The 25133-nt window shown below is 36.0% G+C and overlaps 1 long non-coding RNA gene across 3 annotated transcripts in view; it reads left to right on the top strand.

The window, feature by feature from the left end:
* LOC105377328 (uncharacterized) overlaps nt 1–16899 on the top strand; it is a 29105-nt gene extending 12206 nt beyond the window's left edge. For 2 of the 3 annotated variants that reach the window (XR_938981.2, XR_938979.2), the window contains 2 exons: nt 3123–3236; nt 13137–16899. This is a non-coding gene — a long non-coding RNA (uncharacterized LOC105377328). The remainder of the gene's footprint in view (nt 1–3122; nt 3237–13136) is intronic. The other variant, XR_938980.2, reaches the window with a different exon arrangement.
* The last annotated feature ends 8234 nt before the right edge of the window (nt 16900–25133 follow it).

The raw sequence follows: 25133 nt of genomic DNA, 5'->3' as shown, positions 1-25133 counted from the left end.
ATACATGGATAATCCCAGAAACATTAAGAAGAAGAAAAACCAGTTTTCTGGATTAAGCAACTAGATAAATGACTATGTCAAGTTTCTCCAACCTGTGGCAGGCCATGGGCTACATGTGGCCCAGGACGGCTTTGAATGTGTCCCAATTCATAAACTTTCTTAAAACATTATGAGGTTTATGCATGAACCTTTTTTTTTTTTCACTCATCAGCTATAGTTAGTGTTAGTGTATTTTATGTGTGGCTGTGATGGTTAATACTGAGTGTCAACTTGACTGGATTGAAGGATGCAAAGTAGTGATCCTGGGTGTGTCTGTGATGGTGTTGCCAAAGGAGATTAACATTTGAGTCAGTGGGCTGGGAAAGGCAGACCCAGCCTTAATCTGGGTAGGCACAATCTAATCACCTGCCAGCAAGGCTAGAATATAAAGCAGGCAGAAAAACGTGAAAAGACTAGACTGGCCTAAGCTTCAAGTATCCTCTTATGGTGGATGCTTCCTGCCTTCAAACATCTGACTCCAAGTTCTTCAGTTTTGGGACTTGGACTGGCTTCCTTGCTCCTTAGCCTGCAGATGGCCTATTGTGGGACCTTGTGATTGTGTGAGTTAACACTTAATAAACTCACCTTTATGTAAATATCGATCCTATTAGTTCTCTCACTCTAGAGAACCCTGACTAATACAGTGGCCCAAGACAATTCTTCTGGTGTGGCCCAGGGAAGCCAAAAGATTGGACACCCAGGACTAGGTCTTTCACTGTAGTAAGGAAAACCAAATAGTCACAGTTCAGAAATAGAAATGCACTATTCACAAAACTACTACAAATTTTTCATACGGTAGGAGGATGAGAGTCATGTATTATAAATGTTAGATTTTTGCATTTCCTGTGTTTATTGATTGTAAGAAGCTTATAGCACAATAGAATCAATATCTGGGTGATGTGAAGTAAGTTTAAAACATAGTAGTCTCAAGTAATTTTTACTAGTTGGTTATACTGAGATGAGGCTCATATAAGAACTAATAGTACTTTGTGGTATTTGATAAGTACCAAATGATCAAAAATGAAAATAAGTTTTATAAAAGTATTTAAAGATATCTCACAATACTAATGAAAACTTCTTGCAAAACACAAAATATAAAATGTCATATTTTTAACTTTTTATGTTAGGAAAATAGTGCTGGAATTATGAACGAATATTTTTGCATAAAATTGTCCTTTTTATGTTTTAACAGTGAAAACTTAGCTATTATTAAGTTTGTTATCTATATTAAGACATTATCTATATTAATATCAAAAATTGACTGGGCCTGGTGTTCTGGCTTGTGCCTATAATCCAAACACTTTGGGAGGCTGAGGCAGGAGGCCTACTTGAGTCCAGGAGTTTGGGACCAGCCTGGGCAACATAGCAAGACCCTGTCTTCAGAAAAAGAAGAAAAAAACGGATTGGTTATATAAATAACAGTACAATTATATAATTGAATATTATGCAGTCATTAAAAAATAATAAAATAGAACTGAATGTATTCTTTTAAAAGACATAAACAATATATTACTTTAAAATGCAGCTAAGGGAGAATATTATGGCACAGTTATATCTCTATCTCTCCCGCTAGCTCTACATGCGTAAGAAATTCTGCAAGAAATTACCAACAGGTTAATAGTGGTTATTCTGATAATGTGAAATTGCAAGGTTACTCTCACTTTCTCTCTACCATTTGAAATTTTAGAATAATAAAAAAACCCTGACTAGTATTAGTCAGGGCTCTCCAGAGAAACAGAACCAACAGGACATATACAAATACATAAGAGAAAGATTTATAAGAATTGGCTCATGTGATTATGGAGGCTGAGAAGTCCCACAGTATGTCCTCAGACCCAGAAAAACTGGTGGTGTAATTCAGACTGAGTACCACGGCCAAAGAAGCAGGAGAGCAGATGATGGATTTCACAGTCTGGGGCCAACAGCCTGACAAGGTAGGGAGTAGGCAGAAGTGTGCTGGTGTGAGTCCCAGCGTCTGAAGGCTCCGATGTGCAAGGGTATAAGCAGATGGATGTCCCAGCTCAAGAAGAGAGAAACAGAATTTGCCCCTTCCTTTTGGTTTGATATGGGCCCTCAACAGACTGCATGATGCCAGCCTATATTGTTGAGGGTGGATCTTCTTTGCTGAGTCTACTGACCGAAATACTAATCTCCTCCAAAACCACCATCACAGATACACTCAGAAATATTTTCCTAGCTACCTGGATATCCCATATTCCAGTCATATTGACACATAAAGTTAACCATCACAATATGTTATCTGAAAAAAAAATTTATGAAATGACTTCTATTGTTGCCTTATGAGGAGCTTTCTGAACAACCCTTTTTTAGACAGACAAAATCGTACAGGCCAAATGACATAGAAACCCTTTCTTCTATGTTTGCATCCCAACTCCTACCACTGAGTGCTTTCCATTCCCCAGCAACTAAACTTAAAACTGATATATTTCATAGGATTTGCTGCATAGCAAACTCATGACTACTTACTGTTCATTATTTTAGCTTTACATAGTGGTAAATTACACAAAGGTGTCTGGCCATTTGAGAAAAGCCCAAATACAGGGCTTCCTATTTTTATTAAGGTAAAACATGCTCTCAATAATCCAAAGTTGAAATTATGGAACAATTTTTCATTTCCTCTTTGCTTTCTATATTATGTCACCAACAAGGTCACCCATATACTTCCACTCCTTTCTATTCTTTACAATAGGGATAGGTAAATGTTTTCCTGTAAAGGACCAGGTAGTAAATATTTTAGCACAACATGCTTGTATTTTAAATACACTTTGCTAAATGAAATAAGTCAGACATTAAAAGGCTCATTTTGTATAATTTCATTAATAAACACTCTGGAAAAGGCAAAACTATTGGAATAGAAAGTAGCTTAATGGTTGCCGGTGGTAGAGGAATGATGGGAGAGGTGAATATAAATTAGAAGCAACTGGGAACTTGGGGGATGAGAAAACTGTTCTGTATGAAACTGTGACTGTGGACACATGACTCATTGCATTTGTCAAACTCACAGAAACGTAAGCCGCAAAGAGTGAATTTTACTGCACGTTCCTTTTTTAAAAATCAAACAGGATGTGTGGAGGAGTGGAACGCAAACTGCCAAATAAATCTAGCTGTATTACAGATGAATCACATGATCACACTAAAGGACATGAGGAAGAAAGGAGCTGACTTAAGTAACTTTGGTAAGCAGTTATGTGACGGTATATTTTAAAGACAAAAAGTAATGTACACTAACACTCTGCTCTAGTGTAGGGGTTGGCAAACTTTTTGAGTAAAAAACAAGATAGTAAATATGTTAGGCTTTGTGGGTCATATAGTCTCCATTACCACTTCTCAACCCTGCTGTTGGAGCACAGAAGCAGCCATAGACAATACATAAATAAATGAGTGTGGCTATGTTTTAACAACACTTTATTTATAAAAACAAATACAGGGTCAGATGTGGCTTGTGAGCCATAGGTTGCTAATTCCTGATACAGTTGGCAAATTAGTCTCTTACATGGGTATGGGTTTCATTTCATATTTTATAGTAAGGTTGAGCTAATAAGTAAATATAGTGTAGACAGTGAAAGCTGAGTTTCTCACTGTCAAAAGAAGAAGTTACAAATAAGGAAAGGGTGGATGCTGGAATGAACCACTGGTACTGGATTAGAGATGGAGATATCAGTATGAACTCATGATTTTCAAATATCTGCAAATGTAGATAAACAAATATGAGGCTCATGCCTTATGTTTATAGGCATGAGTTAGTGTAATACATGTATCTCCAGTTGTATCCATTAAAATGTGCTAGAAGAAGTATCATGCCAGCAGCAAAGAGCTTCATTTCTAAATATCATGTGCTCATAAAAGGAACTATGGTTCCTTGGAAAAATGATTCATTTCAGGGTTATGGCAGGAAAAATATAAACAATCCTGGAACAATTTGTGATACTGGAGAGTAAGAAAGTAATTAAAAATGAGCAAATAAAATATCAAAGCATATTCAAAGGGCAAAAGAGACAACCTGAAAAAAAATCCCAATAGCCAAAATTAGGACAATTTGAGAAACAAAAAAAGTAATGATAGTATTGTATTGTAACCCAAAGAATGAAATAAATACTCATTCTGATATTAAAAAAAAACTGAATAAATAAATCAGTAGAGGAAAAGAGACAAATCATCCTTACGAAATATTTCTAATTAAAAACTTAAAAGGCATAAGGGAAATAGAAAATAGAAAGTCATTGCTAGAACACCACAGCAATAATTGACTTATGCAGGATCAGTGATGGATCCTAAAATTGATAGGTAAAATTTAAGTAGAAATAAGATTTTGCATAGTCACTGTGTGTCCATTTGGACTGCATTAACAAATGATCATAGACTGTGTGGCTTATAAACAACAGAAATGTATTTTTCAACAGTTCTGAAGGCCAGTAAGTCTAAAATAAACACACTGGCAGGTTCAGTGTCTGGTGAGGACCCACTTCCTCATAAAAAGCTATCTTCTCATTGTAACCTCGCATGGCTGAAGGTGCAAGCAATCTCTCTGAAGTCTCTTTTACAACAGCACTAATCCCATTCTTGAGGGCTCCACCCGAATGACCTCATCACCTCCCAAAGGCCCCACTCCCAAATACCATGACCTTGGGTGTTAGAATTTCAGGACATAAATTTGGAAGGAACATAAACATTCAATCCACTGCAATCACAAAGTATCTCTCTCAAAATATTTAGTAATCACAAAGAGAAAAACAGCAACTTTACAATGGAAAAACATGGCAGACGCCAAGTGATCAAGATTAATATAATCAGTAATAAGACATATCAATGTCATTTACTTTGGATATGATGCATTCAGAAGTGCATATCATCAGAGGTAAATGATATTGATATGCATTATTCTTCTTAATAATGCATAGCCTTAATATAATCAATAAAAAATCTAACAAACCCAAATGGAGCAAAGTTCTATAAAATAACTCCTCTTCAGTAATATTAAAAACAAGATAAGGAAAGACTGAGAAAGCATCTCAGATTGGAAGAGGCTAAGGACATTCAGCAGCTATGTACAATGTGAGGTTCTAAATTGGATCCTGAACCAAAAATAATAAAATAAACTAGTGAAAAAATGGTGAAATCTGAATAAATTCTGTAGTTTCATTAATAGCATAATACCAAGGTTAATTTCCTAGGTTTGATCATTTTATTCTTTGGCTGTGTAAGATGTTGGCATAAGGATAATCTGGGTAAATATATATAAAATAGACTCTGTACTACTTTTTGCGTCTCTTCTGTGTGTCTAAAATTATCACGAAATTTTAAAAAATGTTAAGGCTAAAAATTCATCTGCTGCACACCAATTATAAGTATAGGATTAAATGGTGGGGCTATTAAAAACCTTTCACAATGGTATATAAATGCCTATTCAATATAATTAACATATACTTTACAGATTAGATGATTTTTCTTGGTGTAACCCATTTGTCATCATGGACTCGGGGTTAAAGGAAAGCATATGACAACTGCCAGTAGGATCCAGCTCTGAAGAAATTAAATACAAGGTCAATGATGATGATCTGCTTCCCTGGTACAGCTTTGCTGAAGCTTCAGGACTCTGTGAGAAGCCCAGAATTTGACTTGGCACCCAAGCTAGCCTAGAACCAACAACATTAATGCAAAGAGGCTCTGAACTAGGAAAGTCTAAAAGTCTAAATAAATACACTGTCTCTCCATGTCCTGTACATATGGATTCAGAAGTGTTCCCATGATCTGAGATAGAGAATACTGAGAAGGCTAATGGACTGACAAAGGTTGGAGGGTCATGGCTGAAATATTCTGGGATTTCAATATTGGAGGCAAGTGACTAGAACCATTTCAGAGTAGGTGCCAACATAATGTCTCAAAACACTATACAGAAGTGGTCACATCCAGTGGATAGCAGTCAGGGGTTGGTAAGACTGCATGCTTCTCAGAAAACTGGCAAGGATTCCTATGACTATGCCTTCAAAACCATTTTCTCCTATTCCTACAAGGACTTTTGAGTCTCCAAAAAAACTCAGAAATCACCTGAAATTAGATCACAGGGAAAATGAGGAAATCTAAAAGACTGAAAACTTGCACAAAAAAACCTAAAACAAACCAAAGAGATTTATGCTGGAAGAAATTGAGACCTTTATTTATATTCTGAAATAGGGTCTTTTGCAGAAAATAAAAATGTTACATTTTTACTTGCAAGTCTGAGAAGAAATTACTGAATTAGTGGCCTTACAATCCCTATTTTTTATTACCATTTGACTAAAAGTTTTACCATTATGTGCCCAACATGATAGTATGTATTTGATATATATTTGTCACATAAATCAATTAATAAAAGATAAGGTCACTACCCTGGAGCTCAAGACCCAGAGAGGCAGGCAGACATGTAAATAGATAATATTAATATTTAAAACAATCATTAATGAAAGATGCAACACACCTAACCATGTCTCTCTACAAGAAGCAAAAAAGATTTCAGAGAAGAGTGGTGTGGATCTTGAAGGATTAACAGGGGTTTGACAAGGATCTTCTGAACTAGAGAGAAACATAAACTTTCTTGGGGTTGAAACCATTTATTTTAGACTTCTTAATATTTTCTCTGAGAGACATTCAGCAAATATATTAATTTGATTAGAGTTTTAGTTTACAATCCAATGTAAAAATAAATTGCCAGTTCCTAAAACGTATTTCCAACTGATGATGTTAGAATGCTTTTTATAGCCAAGTTGATAACTATAGTGAGTTTGTATAGTTGGTGAGGTCTATTTATGAAATACTTACCATGGGATCAAATCAAATAATGATCATGAATGAGCATGCAAGTAAATTGACCTTTTTTAATTTTTTGTTTTAAATATATAAAAATTTAATAATAATGTTATCTATGGAAACCTCAGATTTTCTGAGAAAATCTATGCTTTTGTTTGAACTTCTCTGCCTACATTATTAAAATTTGATTGTATTTATTTAAAAAGTACTGAGCTTTAAATGTTATATAAAAGGTGAATTTGATCTCTCTTATCCCTGCTTTGAATCTTCTTACTCTCAATAAATCAAGAAATACATTAAGAGAGAGCAGGGAGGGAGGAAGCGAGGGAGAGAGAAGCAGAGACAAAGAGACAGAGAACTTCAATTAGAGACACATACTGATCACAAATGGATACAGTTTTTTTTTTTCAGATTTCAGTATAAAATTATAGAATCATGAAATCTAAATTGTATTTCTGGAGACAAACTTAGAAATCATCTCTTTAGTTCCTTTGTTTTACATATAATATTTATTAAACTACAAATTGGGCTTTATTCAATAAACAGAGAAACATTTTAAATGTCTTAGTTTGAACTATTACTATTTTTAGTTTAGTTTGTTTTAAGAACTTTATTGGGATATAATAGACATATAAAATTAACCATTTTAAAGTGTACAATTCAGCGAGTTATAGTAGAATAACAGTTATGCATTCATCACCAACATCTAATTTTAAAACATTTTATCACTCCAAAAAGAAACACATACTTATTACAGTCACACCCCATTCCCACCCTCCCCCAGCTCCTTGCAATCTAAGGTACTTTCTATCTCTATAGATTTGCCTTTTGTGAGTAGATTCTTTCACTTAACTTAATGTTTTCAAGTTTCATCTATGTTGCAGGAGGTGACAGTACTTTATTCCTTTTTACTGCTGAATAATATTTTATTTTATGGAAATACCACATTTTACTTATCTATTCATCAGTTGATAGGCATTTGGATTGATTCTACTGTTGGACTATTTAGAATAATGTTGCTATGAATATTTTTTTTGAGGCAGAGTCTTGCTCTGTTGCCCAGGCAGGAGTGCAGTGGCATGATCTCATCTCATTGCAGCCTCTGCATCCTGGGTTCAAGTGATTCTCCTGCCTCAGCCTCCTGAGTAGCTGGGACTACAGGTGCGTGCCACCACACCCAGCTAATTTTTGTATTTTTAGTAGAGATGGGGTTTCACCATGTAGGCCGGGATGGTCTTGATCTTCTGACCTTGTGATCCACCCACTGTGGCCTCCCAAAGTGCTGGGATTACAGGTGTGAGCCACTGCACCTGGCCGAATATTTTTATTCATAGTTTTTATTCAAGTTTTTATTTGGACATATACTTTAAATCATGGGTCTATAACAAGGAGTTGAATATTCTGGGTCAGATAGAAACTCTAGGTTAAAATTCTGAGGAACTGCCAAAATGTTTTCCAAAGTGACTGAGCCATTTTAAAATCCCACCAGCCTTGTATGGTGATTCCAATTTCTTCATGTTCTTGTCAACATTTGTTATTGTCTGTCTTTCTTGATATAGCTGTCTGTCTTAGTTCCTTTATGCTGCTGTAGCAAAATACCTGAGACTCAGTAATTTGTAAACAACAGAAATTTATTTATTATAGTTCTGGAGGCTGCAAAGTCCAAGAACTGGGCACTGGTAGATTTAGTGTCTGGTGAGGGCCTGTTCCACTGATGGTGGGTGTCTTCTCATGGTAGCGTCTTCAAATGGAAGAAGACAGAAGGGCAAAAAAAAGCCTAAGGTTGTTCCTTCCAGCCCTTTTATAAGGCACTAATCCATTCATGAGGGCAGAACCATCACAACTTAATCACTTCCTAAAGGGCCTCTCTCTTAACACCACCATAATAGGGGTTAGTTAAGTTTCAACATGAATTTTGAAGGGGACATATTCAAACCATAGCTTTGTCCTAGTAGTTGTGAGGTAGTATCTCACTGTTGTTTTAATTTGCATTTCCTTAATGGCTAATGAGGGTGAGCACCTTTTCATATATTTATTGGCCACTCATTTGTCTTCTTTGCAGATATGTTTGTTCAAATCTTTTCTTCCTTTTTAAGTTGGATTATTTGTCTTTCTATTATTGAGCTGTAACAGTTTGTCATGTATTCTGGATACCACTCCCTTATCAGATTTATGATTTGCTAATGTTTTCTCTCTCTGTGAGATGTCTTCACTTTCTTGATTGTTTCCTTTGAAGCACAAAAGCTTTTAATTTTGATAAAGTCCAATTTATTTTTTGTGGGGTTTTTTTGGCAACTTGTGCTTTTGGTGCTATTTCTAAGAAACCATTACCTAATCCAAGGTCACAAAAATTTAGTCCTACTTTTTCTAAGAGTTATAGTGTTAGCTCTTACCTTTGGGTCTATGATCCATTTTTCAATTAATTTTTGTATATGATGTGAGGTATGGGGTTTAATGTCATTCTTTTTCATGTTGTCCCATTTTTTGAAAAGACTATCCTTTCTCCCATTGAATTGTCCTGGCATACTGGTGGAAAAGGTACTAACCAAAAATGTAAACGTTTATTTCTAAAATTTCTACTCTATTTCATTGTTTTAGGGTTGAATTTGTAATAATGCCTATGCTAGTACCTGTCCCCACAATGCTTATTTTCTTACCAAAATGGTTTAGAATGAAATTCAACCCTCAAAGTCAGCAGAGGTATTTTCTTAGTTCATTTTGTCCTGCTATTGTAGAATACCACAGGCTTGATAATTTATAGTAAAACAGAAATTTATTGGCTCACAGTTCTGGAGGCTGGGAAGTCCAATATCAAGGTGCCAGTATCTTGCAAGAGACTTCTTGGGGCACCATTCCATGGTGGAAGGTGAGAGGGTGAGAGAAAGAGAGCAAGAAAGGGCTGAACTCATTCTTTTTTAAGGAACCCACTCATTGATGACAGCATTAATCCACTCAGAGGACATGCCCTCATGGCCTAATCACCTCCTAAAGGTCACACTTCCCAATGCTGTAGCACTGGGTATTAAGTTTACACCACATGCTTTTTGGTGGGACAAATTCAGACCATAGCAGATTCTTTTCTTCCTGTTGTTGGCACTAGTATCCAGACACAGTCTTGAAAAGTCAAGCAAAGAAATTCATTGTGCCTTTTTCTCTTTGTATCTATCTTCCTTCGTTTCTCTCTTATTGTTGAAGTATACCTTTGTTTTAGGTTTAGGATTGTTGTTGTTAGAAATAGTGATTTACTTGGTCTCCTTTACTATATGTAGATTCTAAACTGTTCAACATAATGAATTTGATTACACACATTCTCTGTTGATAATGACTTTGTAAGTATCAGCTTTTACAACCTATCTGTACTCAGATAGGTTTCTTTTGTATCAGCAATATATTACTCTTATAAAGAAGTGAAAAAGCAAGATTTGCTGTGAATGTTTTAAATTTAAATGTAACATAATTGAAAGACAACTGAAAAGACCTGAAAATTTATTATTATCGTGTTTGTTGATATAATGACAATTAATGAAGATACTTATTGTCCCATTACCATTCTTTAAATATTTCTAATTCTAATGGACTCCAAAGCTCCTAGAAAGCTTTATGAGTTCATGTATTAGCCCAACAAATATTTAAAGGGCACATCCTATGTGGCTAGTATTGTTTTAAGTACATAGGATTTATAAAGATAAATGAGGCATAATCCCTCTTATGAAACAGGTCTGCTAGAAAAGAAAATTTCATACTTAAAAAATTGTAACACAGCCAGGCACACTGGTTCAGGCCTGTAATCCCAGCTACTTGGGAGGCTAAGGTGAAAAAAATCACTTGAGGCCAGGAGTTTGAGACCAGCCTGGACAACATAGTGAGACCCTATCTCTAAAAAAATAAAATGAAAAGAAACCATAAAAAAAGTGATGTGGACTACTGAAAGACACAATAAGTATTAAGGGAATTGAGGCAAAGTTGAATTGTGGCTGGAGCAAGTGAGATAAGTGGGAGACTATAAGAACATTTAAAGAAAGATGTAAAATGATGAAAAAAGTTTATCTAGAATTTATTTTATCTCCCTCTAAAATATTATGCCTATAAATCAAAGGAGTTCTTCCCATTTCTTCCAACATTCCTCCCTCGTTCTCTCTCTTATTATCTTTTTCTCTTCTACCCTTTCTCCTCTCTCCCTTCCTCCACATTTCTTACTTGCCAGGAACCAATCTGGAGTAGAGAAAGAGAGTAAGAGGGTACAGTGATTGAATCAAGCTGATTGAGCATGTGTAGTGATGGTGACATCTCCATGTTAATATGAATATCATCATCTTTTAGTCATTATAACTTAAGCCTCAAAGTACTTCATTGAAAATACTGAGGATTTTAAACAATCTGACAAATAGAAATGGATCCATGGACTAGATTTTTGTCTCTCTCTCTCTCTTTTTTTTTTTTTTTTGAGATGGAGTCTTACTCTTGTCACCCAGGCTGGAGTACAATAGCACCATCTCAGCTCACTACAGCCTCCACCTCCCGGGTTCAAGTGATTCTCCTGCCTCAGCCTCCCGAGTAGCTGGGATTACAGATGCCTGCCACCACGCCTGGCTACTTTTTGTATTTTTAGTAAAGACGGGGTTTCACCATGTTGGCCAGGCTGGTCTCAAACTCCTAACCTCAGGTGATCCGCCCTCCTCGGCCTCCCAGAGTGCTGGGATTACAGGCGTGAGTCACCGCTCCTGTCAGATTTTTGTCCCTCTTAAGCCACACATCTCAACTAACCTTTTGAAAAGAGTTAGTCAGCCTTTGATAAAAATGCCAAAATCATTTGAATTAAACTTCAAATTATACAGATTTTTTAACTGCGGAAAACATGGGGATTGCTAAATTACCATTTTAGCCCATAACTTCAGTCATTGAATGAACCTAAAATAAAGCCAGATGAACTAATTCATACTTTAAGCACAAAGAAAGCAAACGCATTTTCATTAAACTTTAGAAATACTGCTGTAGTACTTCTGGCCATGTAAAATAAGAAATTATTTTTACACATAATGTGGACAACTGAAGAATGACTTAACACCTTTAAATTTTTCAATCTAAAAAAGAAATAAAAGATTACCTGTTGTCCACAAGTTAGAAAGCTGATAATATTCATGTTAAACATTCTATTTATCCTCCTTTTTAAAATTGTGGGATGGGGAAGTTGGAAAACGATAAATTATTTATGCTGTCATAGGTTATTAGAATACAGCATTTGGAACTGGTGATTCTGAGTATGAGGAATAAGATATTACATCACACTTGCCAGGAAGTGATCAAAAGACTCTTAAGCTACAGAGGCTATTGCCATATACCCTGCTTTTTAACAACTTATACCTTTTTAAAAGTAAATGTGTGTATGTTTATGTGTGTGTGTGGTTGTGTATGCCAGAGAGTAAATAAAAAGAACACAAATGCTTATTTTGAAAACAATGTATTAGATATGTTAATTATCCAAAGGAGCATTTATCCAAAAAATATTATTTTATGCCAGCTTTCTACCTATGTATGTACACGTCTAAATATTTTTAAATTTCACCCAGAAAACTTTTATTTGCCATGATTTTTTACTCAAACCTGTGAAGAACAATCCTTTTTTTGTTAAACAGCTTATTCTTTACAATAAAGGACATGACACCCTTACAAATGATGTTTGCAAAGTATTTTCAAGCAAAATTAAAGTAGTATAACTCTATCATTAAGATCTCATGCAAGGCAGATGGGTTCCACGTGGTAACAACGTATTGCAGACTACCTTGACATTGATTTGAATGGAACCTCAAGGAACCAGTAAAGATTCCTGTGCTCTTCGTGCCTGTCTCTCACCTCTCCCAGGGCCTTGCTCCATCAATTATTTGCACTCTGTCTTATACATTCTTCACTTCAACCCACAAAAACATCAAGTCTCTCTTATTCTAAAAATTTCCATTCTCTCCAGTTCTATTCAACATACTTCCTCATAATCTCTGCCAAACTTCTTAGAAAATATAGTGCATTTTCATTCATCCTATACCAGTCCTCATTGAGATAGAGAGTTCTAGCTGCCTATCTTGTATCCACACTCCTGTTCTTTGTACCTAACTGCTCCCTGATCAATGCCCACCTGAAATATTTTATTTCCCAGTCTTTCTGACCACTGTTGATCTTCAATGGGTTCTAAGCAGAGGTTAGGTGGACTTTTTTAAAAAAGTGTCATAAACTAAGTTTACAATATTGACATGTACCTTCTTGCCATTAGTTCTTTCTCCTTCCTCCTGTCTGGAATACAGGCGCAGTGGCCAGAGCTCCAGCAACCATCTTGGACAATGAAAAAACCTTCACAATGATAGCCATGGCGAAACACAGTGGAGTAGGAAGATAAAAGAGACTGAGAACCGGATAACCACGGAGTTCCATACCAGCTCTCCTGATACCTTTCATAAAAGAGTGAAATGAGCATCTACCTTTTTGTTTTGCTTCATTATTATTTGGCTGGGTTTTCTTTTAAGTTACCAATAGTCTATTTTTACTTGTACTTTAGCTGCTTTTATGTATTAATATACCATTGAATGCATGTAAATCTTCATATAAGTCATAAACTATGTAAGATTAGATAACACAGTAGACCCCACCCCAATTTACAGGAGCTATTTTACAAGACCCTCTATGGATGCCTGAAACTGTACATAGTACCAAACCCTATATATACTATGTCTCTTCCTATACATACATACTTATGATAAAGTTTAATTTATAAATTAGGCACAGTACTCTTGTGCTTTAGGGCCATTATTAAGTAAAGTAAGAGTTACTTGAGCACAGGGATACAATACTGCAACAATTGATCTGATAACCAAGATAGCTACTAAGTGATAATGGACAATGCCAGACAAAGGGAAGTTAAGCCTCAGGAGGGACAGCATGGGCCATTGCAAGATTTCATCATGCTGCTTAGAATGATGCACAATTTAAGATGTATGCATTGTTTACTTCTAGAATTTTCCATTTAATATTTTCAGACCACAGTTAACTTGGGTAACTGAAACTGTGGAAAACAAAACTGTGCCTAAGGGGGGACTACTGTGTTATTTAAAGCTTTAAACTTTAATTTCAAAAAATATACAACATTTTAAGAAAATATAGTTCAGTGCATATACCACATTGATTTTAATTAGTTGATCTTTTATATACATGTTTATCTATGCAAGAATATGTGTAAGAAGTGTATGGAAGTTCAGTTGTTTTCTGATTTTATGACTTCTGATAAGCTTAGGAATTCCTTAGATAAATAGGAATTATTTACTAATTATTTTTAAGGTCGTGCAGTCAAATAAAATTCACAGAAATGAATCTCAAGTTGATATTAGAGAAAAATGCAATCATTGTTAATATTAAAAATTCCTCAGTAAAAGAAATATATTTTAAGATTTTATGTATACACAAATTATTGTTTTTATTTGAGCCAAACTTAATTGATACACTCGTGTGCCCCTCAACCTCTAAAATCTTTTTTCATCTTTTTCCTCTAACAAAACTCCTCTCTTAAAGGTCTTTAGTTAACTCAAGTTGCCAAATTCAATATTTAAATGCTAAATCCAAGAGCCTCATGTCATTTCTCCTCTACTTTTGATCACACAAACCATTCTTCTTTTTTTTTCCTTCATTGTTCACTCCTGGGTTTTCTCTTACTTCTCAGATCAGTCTCTTTCATTTTCATTAACTCTTTTCTTCTAGCTCCCTGTTAAGTATTAGCTTCCTATAGTCTATGTCCAAGCCCAAGCATTTCTTCTTACTGTATATCTCATACAATGCCTAAACTTAACTTCCTATGATGACAATGCTTCCAAAACTTACATCTTAATCTGGATATTTTGCTTGAGTTCCACATTCATGTTTCATAGTTCTTGTGGCCCCACAAATATATCCTGTCAACAAATTTAGATGGGCGTAAAAGTCACTATCATTCCCTGAGAGTCTGTCACATTTTAGACTCTGCTCTGCTCCATGACTTGGGCAGGGAGGAGCAGTCCTACTGAAAACAGCCCACAATATCCTCACCCAAGAGGAAATGACAAAGATAAAAACCTTGTGCCTCTGAGTGAAAGCTCTCTGTTTCAAGTAAGGAAAGTCCAAATCTACCTGGTTTAAGTGAATAAGGAAACACACTGGCTCATATACCTGTAAATTTCTGGAATAAACTAGGGGCAGTATGGTTTGACCCAGTAGTTTAATCATTGTCTTCAGGAATACTAATTTTTCCTCTCTACTTCTTGGTTTTGTTTTGCACTTTGCTGGCTTCTTTCTCAATTATATTCATCTCAGTGGTAACGAAGATGGGCAATAACATCTATAAGCTTATATTTAACGAATTTAAAATTTTTAGTGGGAAGAAATTTCTTCCCCAATAATTCAAGCAAAACTCAAGGAATCATTCTCGTTGGCTTGGGCTAGGTCACCGTCCCCTAAGTGATCATTAAAACTTTCACTACCTCCCTTCCACCCAAATAAGTGGGCCCACTGACCTGGACCTCTTGATATTGTGATATAATAAGAAACATATAGTTGGGCTTCATCCATAGTTCCTGGCACAAAGCTTCTAAAACCCTTGTATTTTGTTATAATATTTGGTCTTTATGCCCAATTCTGGACACAGAGCTTCTAAAACCCTTGGAAGTTCCTGAGAGATAGGGGTCAGAGGACCATCTTTTGTTATTCATAATAAGCCTCTTTCAACCATACCTGAGTTTCTACTAATAAGATGACTTTTGATGGACTTCCAGATAGCTTCAGCATGAGAGCTTGTTGCTACAGGAATCAACCATTGATTAGAAGGTTGAAACTTTCAGCCCCATCCCCCAGCCTTTGGGGAGATAAGAGGGGCTGGAAATTGAGTTAATTATCAATGATCAATGATCTACTCAGTCATGCCTACATAACGGACATTGCATAAAAACCCTAAACAGTGGAGTCCGTGGTGTGACTGAGCCCTTAAATTGTGGGAGCTGATCCTAATTCCAGGTAGTTAGCATCACAATTGAATTAAATTGTAGGACACTCAATGGTGTCCTACAGTTGGAGAATTGGTTGTTGGTTTGAGGAAAACCCCCATACTTTTGGTATGAGAAGAAGTGTTCTGTGGGTAGAAAGAGATCCTAGTAGCCCACACCTATTTTCCTTTCTCTGCCCTGCAATTCTGCCACTTCAGAGTGCCTTTTTAAAATTTTTACAGTCGCACCCTGGTGGCTGGAATCAGCCAGAGTCTGCAGTGTTATCCAGGCAGGAGCCCATAGTAGAACTTGAGTGGGTCAGATTCCCATTGCTCCCCTTGGGTGTACTCACTGACTCTCTAGCCCATTCATTGTGGTAAACCAGATGCCTGCAGAGTTCCAACAATCACACCTGTAGGGTTATCCTGGGACCTGGAGCCAGCTTCTGGAGCCCACGAGGGTGACCTGATTCTAAGATGGTGGCCTGGTGAGCAGATTATACCCACTGGCTAGTACAGTAATTCTTTTGTGGTATCATGTAAAATTTTATCCTCAGAATGGTTCAGAAATACTGATTTTGGGTGACTCTTACACATGTTGACACAGAGCCTTTTTACCTTGACATATAAGTCTCTCACACGGCATTCTGTATTTTCCATACTTTTTTCACTCTGAGCTTTCTGTCATATAGTTTTTAGTAGTCTATCTTCCAATTCTCTAATCTTTTCTCCTACTCTGTCCAATCTGCTGAAGACCCAACTATTGAGTTATTAATTTTAGTTATTTTGATTTTCTTTTCTAGAATTTATGTGTGATTTTTTCTATAGATTCTAGTTTTTTAGTGAAATTCTCTATCTTGCTATTTTCTCAAATGTATTAATAACAGTTATTTAAAATCTGTGCTTGATAACTCCAATATATAAATTTGATATATTTGATATATTTCTGGTGAATTCTTTCTCTTGCTTTCAGTGACTTGGTCTTGTTTTCTGACACATTCAATAATTTTTGATTAAATGAGAGACATTGTGTATTAAAAAATAAAAACAAAAACAAAAAACAAAGTTTTGAAGATAGTATTCTTTTCATCCAAAAAGGATATATTGTTTTTCTGGCAGGCATTTAGAAGAAGTATGATTATTTGAAGCTGTGTTTAATTCTCTGTAAAGCCTGGTCTATTTTGATTTGACTTTACTTCCAAGGCATAATGTTTCAAAAGACTTAACTAAAAACCAGAGATATTTAACAGGACTCTTACCCAAATAAACTTTCCTAATAATGAGATATAAATATTCTATATACAGTTCATATATATGAAGAATAAAATAAAATGATGGCAGAATTATGAAAAAAACAGAGGCACAAAACTGAAATAATAGAATAAGGAAGATAGTAGACTAAGATCCCTAAACAGTGTTCTGGAGGTGCTTTTGTTTAAGTGAAATTGGAATAAATACAAGGAACAAGGATTTGAAAAACTTCATTGCAGTTCTCTTTTTTTTTTTTTTTTTTTTTTTGGGAGACGGAGTTTCACTCTTGTTGCCCAGGCTGGAGTGCAGTGGCGTGATCTTTGCCCACTGCAACCTCTGCCTCCCGGGTTCAAGCGATTTTCCTGCCTCAGTCTCCAGAGTAGCTGAGATTACAGATGCCCGCCACCACACCTGGCTAATTTTTTGTATTTTTGTAAAGACGGGGTTTCACCATTTTGGCCAGGCTGGCCAGGATGGTCTCAAACTCCTGAACTCAGGTCATCCACCCACCTCAGCCTCCCAAAGTGCTGGGATTACAGACATAAGCACCACACCTGGCCAGTTCTCATTTTTGTTATTAACTTATCTCTGTCCTAGGAGAAAGTCAGTTACTTGAACACAAGATTAGTATTCTAATATTTTGTAAAGTACTGGAATGAATGAATAAATTAAGGAAGTACATGAACGAATGGTAATAAATGCTTTTTCATATATTTTAGGTTTCTCTCTCACACTATACAGATTGTAAAAAGTAAATATTCTTGGGGAGTGGACATAAATTAATACTTCTGTAGAGCTCAAAAGCTTTAATTACTTTCTCTTCATTTCATGTGGTTTATAAAATTATGCAGAATATTTATCATCAACAAGTAATTCATAACATAAAAAAAGATGAGAAATGTCATAAGAGACCCCAAAATTTTTCTATGTTCATGTAAAGGAAAGCCAAAGTCATTTTCCGGCAGTTTATTAAAAGGCTACACATACGTTGAGAACTAAAAGATATATTAAATTTAGGGAAAATAGAACACTTTAGGGCTTTAAGAAAGTAAAATACTAAATAAAATAAAGAATTAGAGTTGAATAATTATTACAAAGTAAAAATCAACAATTCCTAGGAAGAAAAATGCAAAGCTTTAATCATTAATGTTTTTGTAAAATTATAAACTATAAATACTATGACATGATTATTGTGTAAATATTTAAAAGGTCAATCTCTTGTCAATATAAAGTTATTTTTAAAGTTTTTAAATAATTATTTAAAAATTATTTTTATAATTTATGCAAATTTTCCCTCACTCCAAATTCAGAATTTAAAATATTTCAATATAGACTTTTCCTTCTATAGCAGTATTAGACCCTTTGGGGAAGCAAAACTCACAGAATATAATGTAATAAAGTCTTCTTAGTAATTGTTTTCAGTCTGTGTCACTTGCTCATACAGAACCTGAAGTGTGTGTGAGCTTTGGCATTAAGCACTTTCTTTAAACCCTTGAAGCACTATAAGTCTTACAACTCACATCAGGCATGTTTGGTAATGTCAGATAAATTATCCTCCTGAACCACTAAGTAGCACTGCTTATAATTAATGGTGAATCTAAGTAAGCTAAGTGACTCTTTTGCAAGTAAGCTAAACATGTTATTGGAAAACAAAAATCTTAAAAAGAAAAGTTAATATCTTTACACCTTTCTTTTAATTGGATTTGTTTTTCATAACATGTTTACCTGAAATTAACCTGGCAGTCTATGGCCAAGTTTTATTTTGACAATGTCATTAGCCTCAATTTCAGATAATCTTTTCCCATCACCTCATTCTTGTGTGTGTATGTGTGTGTGTGTGTCTACACATAGAACAGAATGTGACTCATGAACAAATATCCACTTAATTACACCAGAAATGAAAAACAGCGTATCTAGGAAAGATCAGGTGGACAACAATATCAACCACAAATTTTGCTATCAGTCTAATCATGAGATTGCTGAAGATTTTAAAGGAGCTGAGAGTTCATACATTGTGCAATGTTTGTCTATACACTGTGTATTTTAAAGGTTTACTATAGGTAACCATATAATGCCATGCACTTTATACACCTCTATTTATAATCATGTGTGTATAATCATACTAAATCTTCATTGAGTATCAGGAATTAAAGTAGTCTCTGTCCCTCCAAAAAATATACCATATCAAGATACTACGAACTAAAATATGGGTGGATACATAGATAAATAGATGTAGTCAGACATAATTTTAAGGCAAGTAGGTCTTAAATAAAACTACCTTAACTCAGATATTCTTTTCTTTACCTTTCTCTTCCCTACCCATCTTCATCTTCTCTATACTCCCTGCTATGGCTTAGATTCTGTCTTCTAAAATGATACACTGACTTCCTAACTCCCAGTACTGACGAATGAAACCTTATTCAGAAACAGGGTCTTTGTAGATGTAATCAAGTTAAGGTGAGATCATCCCCAATTAGAGTGGGCCCTAATCCAATGTGTCTGGTGCCCTTAAAAGAGGAGATAACAGACACTAGGAGGAGAACCACCCTATGAAGACACAAAGACACACAGACAGAGAGGAGAGACCACCACATGGTAAGATGGAGGCTGAGATTGGAGTTGTGGTGCGACAAGCCAAGGAACACCTTGGGCTACCAGAAGCTGGAAAAAGTGAAGAGGGATCTCCTTCAGAGGCTTTAGAGAGAGCACAGCCCTATAAAGACCTTGATTTTGGACTTCTAGCCTCCAGAGATGTGAGACTATGAATTTCTGTGGTTTTAAGACATCTAGTTTCTGGAAATTCGTTAAGGCAGCCCTAGAAAATGAATACGTTCCCCCATTCCTTTCAAATAATTTATTTCTTAATTTATGTAAACTGAGCCCTACACAGGTCCTGGGACTGTGCTAATCCTGGGACTACAACAGTGAATTGGAGAGACATGACCCCTTTCTTACAGAAATTACAATTGACTTGGGAAGACAGAAGCTAAATAAGTATACATACTCATGATATATGTGTGACAACTGATAAGAAAGTCCTTAGTGCTTGCTAGAAATCCTACTGTGGTTCCCGGGACCTTAGTAAGTAAGGGACCAGGGGATGCTGGGGAGACAAGATTGCACAGCTGGGAGTCAGACAGATGGGACATTGATTGGGTGGTGCAGATATCTCTGATTGGTCAATGAGTCTGGTTCTGGGAGTGTGGGAAAAAACTAAATAAGAATCAAATGCTGCTATCAGAATTGATCTACCAGCTGCCAACATGAAGAGCCTTTGCTGTGACGAAGCTGAGCAGGATCAGAGAGCAAACACGTGAGAAAGTCCCTTCCCCCTTTTTCAGCTTTCCAGTCTTCCTATGGGTCCTCTGTCAACAGATTCTGACAAGGGGCCAGCAAGCCAAGGATTAATGTGGTCATCATAATTCCAGCTCCAGCCTGGGTGGGTTAGAAGCTGAGAGACAACAACTTAGTAACCTGTGCACTCAATTGTCTAAACATCCTCTCCTCTTATTCCTTCTCCTCATTTTTAATTAATAGGATTTAGTTTTAGAGTACTTTTAGGTTTACAGAAAAATTGAGCAGAAAGTACAGAAAGCTCCTGTACACATACTCTCTATTTGCCTCTTGCCCCCACTTTCCCCTATTATTAACATCTTTCATTAGTGTGGTGTATTTGTTCCAATTGATGAATTGATATTGATATTATTGTTAATGTCAAAAATTTACATAAGGGTTCACTGTGTTGTACAGTTCTATGAGTTTTGACAAATAGGAAATGTCATGTATCCACCATTACAGCATCATACTGAATAGTTTCACTGCCCTAAAAATCTCCAGTGCTCTACCATTTGTCCCTTCCTCCTTCTCTCCTCCAAACCCCAGCAACCACAGACCTTTTACCATCTCTATAGTTTTGTTCTCATTCTCTTTAAAACTCACTCCAATCAAGGTTTTATCTTCAAAACTCCTCTTATCAAAGCCATTGTTGCCAAATCCAAAGTTCAATCTTAAATATCATCTTATTCAATCCATCAGAACATTTGAAACAACTGACCTCTCCCTATTTGTTCAAATCCATTCTTCTTCACCTAGTCTCTGAACACCAATTTCTGGGGTGAACATCTATCTCATAAACAAGTCTAATTTTTGTTGGCTCCTCCTTATCTTGCCAACCTTTAAAGTTTGGAGTGCCTAGATGTCTTCTGACCTTTCTTTAGTCTATACTTGCTCCCAAAATAATGTCATTTAGTTTTAGTCTTTAAATACCATCTATTTTCAGATGACTCAAAAATGTATACCTCTAGCCTGGAACCTCTCTGCTAAACTCTGGATTTTTGTATCTGACTCTCAATTAGATCTCTCTGTTTGGTTCCCCAGTAGTTATCTTGAACTCAGCATGTTCTAAGGGGAATTCTTTATTTCATCACCATCAGCAGCAGCAGCCCCTTTCTACATCCCACCCTTCCAAGAGCTTCTCTCAGTTTTCTTCTTTGTAGTATAGGACCACTCTATTCCATATTATGTATAGTTGCTCAGACCAAAGAATTGGAATAATTCTTGACACTTCTCCCACCTCATATTAACAAATTATGTTGGCTCTATCTTCAAAGTAAATTCAGACTCCAGGCATTCATCAGGCCTTCTACCACCCCTGGGCAGTCACAGTCATACTTTGCAGGACTATTGTAATAGCTACCTAAATAGGCTCCCTGCCCCTACTCTTTCCCCATCGATTCTGTTTCTAACATAGCAGCTAGAGTGATCATTCAAAATATATGTGAATTATGTTTCTCTTCTGCTTAAGCCAACCAACAGATTGGTTGTTTCTCTTCTGATTTAGCCAACCAGTGCCATTACATCTTAACTCAGAGGGAGAACCAAAGGCCTTATCTTGGTTTCCTAGTTGCACTGTACTAACCCATCCCCACTCCAGCCTCATCTCCCCATATTTACCCTTTCATTTGCTTCACTCCGGCCCTTCCTCTTATTTAAGATCAAAATCTGAACTTCTTACCATGGTGTCTACATGTTCTCTGAGTTTTCCTTCTAGTGCTTCCCATGCTCTCTTCCTTCACTTGGTGCCTGCCATATTGGCCTTCTTGCTCTTCCTCAAACATCAAGTCCATCTTACCTCAGGGCCCTTGCACCAACTGCTGCCTCTGCCTGGACTCTCTTTCTCCAGAGAGCTGCACATTTTGTCTCCAATCCTTTCAGGTCTCTGCTCAAATGGCACTTTTATCAGCAAGGCCTTCCTTCTTCATCTTATGCAAAATAACACCCCCACTATTACTCTTCACATTTCTCTATAATGATCAATGCCTTCTGAAGAAGTATTCCCTTGTTTATTTTCCTATCTCGTCCCCATAGGTCTGAGGGGCCAAGAAAAGCTTTCCTGAGGAAGAGGTGCTTCTGCCAATATCAGAGTAGGAGCAGACTGACAAAACATGGGAAGAAGCACATTCCAGGCAGAGGGGTGAGAGAGCATAACGCCCGGGATTTAGAAAAGGGAGACACAGGAAATATCTGTTATAAAGGAGCATGGAAGTCATGCTAAGGATTTTTCATTTTACCCCAAACACAATGGAAGATTTAAGGAGTAAGATAATATGACTAGAATTGCATTTTGAGTAAATGCTCTTAGCTAGTCTGAATATAAGATTGAATGGAAGCCAAGGAAGTACAGGAAAGCCAGTGAGGGCCTCCTGCAGATGCAAGTTTATCACGTGTCAGCTCCTGAGATACACCTACAGTAGTAATAACCACCAATCTCTGGCAGCTTCTAGGTCCAGATTTCTTCTTCTACTTATATTGAGATAGTTATGTTTTTACTTGCTTTGATATTAGATATTTATAGTATCTTAAATGATTTTAAGTCGAGTTAATTTTCCCATGACTCATTTTTAAGTGTGCCATCAAAGTCTATCTATAGTTGGTAAAAAAAATTTCAAACCTCAACTGAGATTTTGAATGTGGGGAGTAGATGAAGAAATCGCCCCAGGATCCCCTCAAGAGCATGTCCTGCTGTTTTAAAGAGAAACCAGTACAAGTGGTGAGAAAAACTATAGCATATATTTCAACTGACAAGCATTTTGCTGTGAATGTATTCATGTCTATAATTCACAAAGAGAACAGTTTTTTCTTAAAGAATAATGATATCCATGAGATGGGGCTCTAATGGGATATTTCAGTGGTAAAACAAACACTTATAAATTTCCCTTTTTTTTTCTAAAAATGAAAGTGACAAAATCATACCTTATGTTTTTGATAATTCTACTTCTACTGCTTTTAACTGACAACTATTTCTGTAATATGTACAGATTTTTGCTTTCAACCTCGTATATACTTTGTTCAGCCCTCTGAATCTGACCTTAGTCTGTCATTTTTTAAAACCACGAAATGGCCTACAGATTATCTGTGAGGGACTGGTTCATAGTAACTGAACCAGTAACTGCCTCATCTAGTAAATCGTTTCATGTTTAGGAGCTTAGCATGTGATATTAAGTGCAGGTTGTTTTGATTTAGTAAGAGGCAAGTTGAATTTTGCCTTATCTTTATGAAGTTGTATGTTAAAATTATAACTGCACATAGAATTCTCCTTATACATAATAGGCATGAAAAATTCTGGGTAATATAATGTTTTGGTTTATTGAGTCTATGTGTATGTGCGTGTGTGTGCGTGCATCCACAAAATTTATCAGGTATAAATAATCTTTTATTCCACACTTAAAACATGAAATTTAAAACTTATGTAACATGAAAAAGTTAACTATGGACATAAACCTGATGTACATGTTAACCAATCTGTGAAGAGTAAGAATACAAGATAATTGACTCAACTGCCAAAACTACACTTATTGAAGTTTAATCTTTTTTTAACATAAATTGGTTAATATATTTTTTAATAATGCTGAGTGTCATCTAAAGGGTGATGAAGAGACTATCTACTCCCTCAACTATTTATCCAGAGCTACTCATTCAGCAGTTATCTGCTTTGTTATGATGCAAAATTTCATTTGAAAAATGTGTTCTGCAGATTTAAATGGTTGAGAGTTACTCGGAAGATTAAATGAGATAATTTATGTAAAAGAAAGTTGCACCATACTCAGTAAATGTTAGCATTTTTCTTCCTTCCTTTTTCCTTTCCACTGCCCATCTCTCTCTCTTTCCCTTTCTCTCTTTTGTCGTTTCATTGGTCACTTTTTCATTCAAGATGTTACCACATCTCAAATAATAATCTTAAATATAAATGAAATGTAAAAGTAGAAATTCTTGATATTGAAAAAAATTTACCCAAACATGGCATTCAAAACCAATAATTTTTGATATAAGATAGTTTACAGATTTTCTTCCCTATGAATAAAATACAGAAAAGATTTGTGATCATTCGAGCTTTCTAAGTGCAAATATTTTGTACAAATCAATGATCACTATATTGTGCCTCCATGTCAAGGTATCACAATAGAATTATGAAAAAGTAATCCTGATTTTGAAAAATTTTTAATTGTAAAAAAATATATTTGACAAGATATACTATTGATACATTGCTAGATAGAAAGGTGGGATATAGAGTATATGTGTCAATAATTTTTACTTCCCAACATTCATTCTCCTTGATATTATTCATACTACTGTATGATCTCCGGAATCATATGGAACATAAGAGGACCCAGATCCTCCTACACCTTCTTGTATTAGTCAGAAAGGGGCACATGTTCTAAGCTGATCTGACTAGAAGCTTACCCTGGCACTTAGACTGTAAATGTCTGGCCAAAAACATGGGATAAGTTGCTGTCGGATCATCTCAGCAGCCACGAAGCAGTGCCAGCAGCACTCAGTAGTGGTGGCAAACTGACATGACCCATCCTGCAGCATAACCTTGGCTACTCTTTCCACCAATTCATCGTCATCTCCCTTCGATCCTGCGCATTTTCCCTGTCTTATTCCCCAGACTTCAAGCCTTCAGGTGAGTATATAGGGCCCCATTTAGTTCCAATAAACTCAAAGGAAATAACTTTCCTTCTTTTCCACACTTCCTTTTTCCCTATAAGAT

The sequence above is a fragment of the Homo sapiens genome, chromosome 4 (genome assembly GCF_000001405.40).
Source record: "Homo sapiens chromosome 4, GRCh38.p14 Primary Assembly".
Lineage (NCBI taxonomy): Eukaryota > Metazoa > Chordata > Mammalia > Primates > Hominidae > Homo > Homo sapiens.
The sequence above is the reverse complement of the archived record's forward strand: the minus strand, read 5'-3'. Positions and strand labels throughout refer to the sequence as shown.